Below are 2209 nucleotides of genomic sequence, written 5' to 3'. Positions count from 1 at the left end.
CATATTTAGTTCTATAATCCATTTTGCATTTATTTTTATAAAGTGTGTAAGATCTGTGTCTACATTCTTTTTTTTTCTTTTTGCATGTGGATGTCCAGTTGTTCTAGCACCATCTGTGGAAGACACTTTTCTTTATTATATTGCCTATGCTCCTTTGTTAAAATCAGTTTACTTCATTTACGTGCGTCTATTTCTAGGCTCTCTATTCTGTTCCATTGATCTCTTCATCCATTCTTTCATCAATACCACATTGTCTTCATTACTACAGCTTTATAGTAGTCTTGAATTTAGGTAGTGTCAATCCTCCAACTTTGTTCTTGTCCTTCAATACTGTGTTGGCTATCCTGGATTTTTTACCTCTCCATAAAAATTTCAGAATCATTTTGTCAATATCTGCAAAATAACTTGCTGAGATTTTGATTGGAATTGCATTGAATCTATAGAAGTAATTGGGAAGAACTAATTTCTTGACAACATTGAGTCTTCCTATTTATGGACATGTAAGATCTCTCTAACAGGTATTTTAAAGGGTGTTTGCTCCTGTAAGTCATTTAAAAGCTTTTGGAAATTCTTTTTCCAAAAGCTTTTAAATAGTCAGTCCCCTTAATATTTTTTAAGGTCTTCTAATTTCTTTATCCCTTGGAATATATCTTCTTATTCTTTTTTAATAAAACAATTTCTCCTTTCTTTCTGTCTCCCCTCCCTGAAGACTTTAGGAGATAATGCTCTATTCTTTGGCAATTTCTTATTTATTTCTACTTTCCACAATGGTTTTTATTTTATCTTACTTTTTACATTTCTAGTTAACATTTCTGAAATCAAGGTACTTATTGTTATTGCATTCTTTACAATTGGCTTATTCACTTAACATTGTAAAATGAGAACCTTAGGTAACCTCTGTTCATGTTTTGTGATAGAGGAACCCATTGGGTCTGTAATGGGACCAGGGAATCAACACTTGTCTGAAGAGGATGTGAGAGCTTTAGTTTGATGTTAACTTCAAATACAAAAGATACTGGGAAAATTGGTCAATTTTTGGACGTCCTGATAGGCTATTTTTTATTAAAGTAGAAAAAGTTTTTCAGACCAAACTGTGAACTGATGGGTCTACCCTGAATCTGAGGGTTTGGCATTGCCACAATTTATTCCTGATGTTTCTGAAGTTACTGCTGTTTGCAACAGCAGCAGTTCCAGAGACATAAGTACGAATACCCATTAGGGAAGGGGATTTGTTTGGCCAATGTCTCTTGAAAGTCAAAATCTCAAAACTGAATTAAAGTAGCCTCATTAATTTTTCATAAGCAAAACAAGAATATTGTGAATTTCATACCTTCATTTAAATTGAGTGCCTGTCATGTACAAGTTCCTGTGCAATATAGGGGCATGTACAGGGCAATGAAACCCAAGTTCTTCTTCCAAGAAATTCACAGTCTACCATTTGTGATAAGATATAGATAGATAATTAGAGTGAAAAGTGATCCCTTATACATGTTATTCACCAATAAATAACATCAAAAGGAAAGTATGATTCATGAGTGATTTTGAAAATATTTTCAATGTTCTCTTAAGGCTTGAATAGAAATATAATTTTGAGAACTTTAAGCTTCATTTAAAACACTACATTTCTATCATTTAAAAATATCTATTTTCTGCTTTATTTTTAATAAGTCCATATATTTAAGAAGAAATTTTATTATGAAACAGAATTTTTACTTATGAGATTTTACAGTAGCCAGTGAATACTAATTAATGTTTAAGTTATTGTAATGATATGAAGACATATTGTTCTGACACTTCAAAATAATTATAAAGCTGACTCATTGCTGTACAGAATGCTGAGCCTAAGTATTCCTCAGTCTTTTTGTTCTAATTAGATTTTATTTATTTCCAATATTTTTTGAGTAGACTGAGAAAAGATCACAAAAAATCATCTATTATGCAACAACATCATTTGAACTTTTTAAAGACAAAGTAATTCTTGATATAGCAGAAATCCATACGATGCCTAGGCTTTCTTCAGTAAACTCATAAACAAATGGCAGCAATAACATCTTTAAATCACTTTCTCAAATGCACCTCTGCTGTGGTTCCGATGGATACAAGTAATACCATCAAGTGTGTAATAACTTGAGAAAGTATTTCTAGGAGGCAGAACAGGCTCATCAAAACTCAATTCAGAAAAATACAAAACAAGATTAAAAGAAAAAAC

Source organism: Homo sapiens, chromosome 4, assembly GCF_000001405.40.
Source record: "Homo sapiens chromosome 4, GRCh38.p14 Primary Assembly".
NCBI classification, from domain to species: domain Eukaryota; kingdom Metazoa; phylum Chordata; class Mammalia; order Primates; family Hominidae; genus Homo; species Homo sapiens.
Note: the sequence above shows the minus strand (reverse complement) of the source record.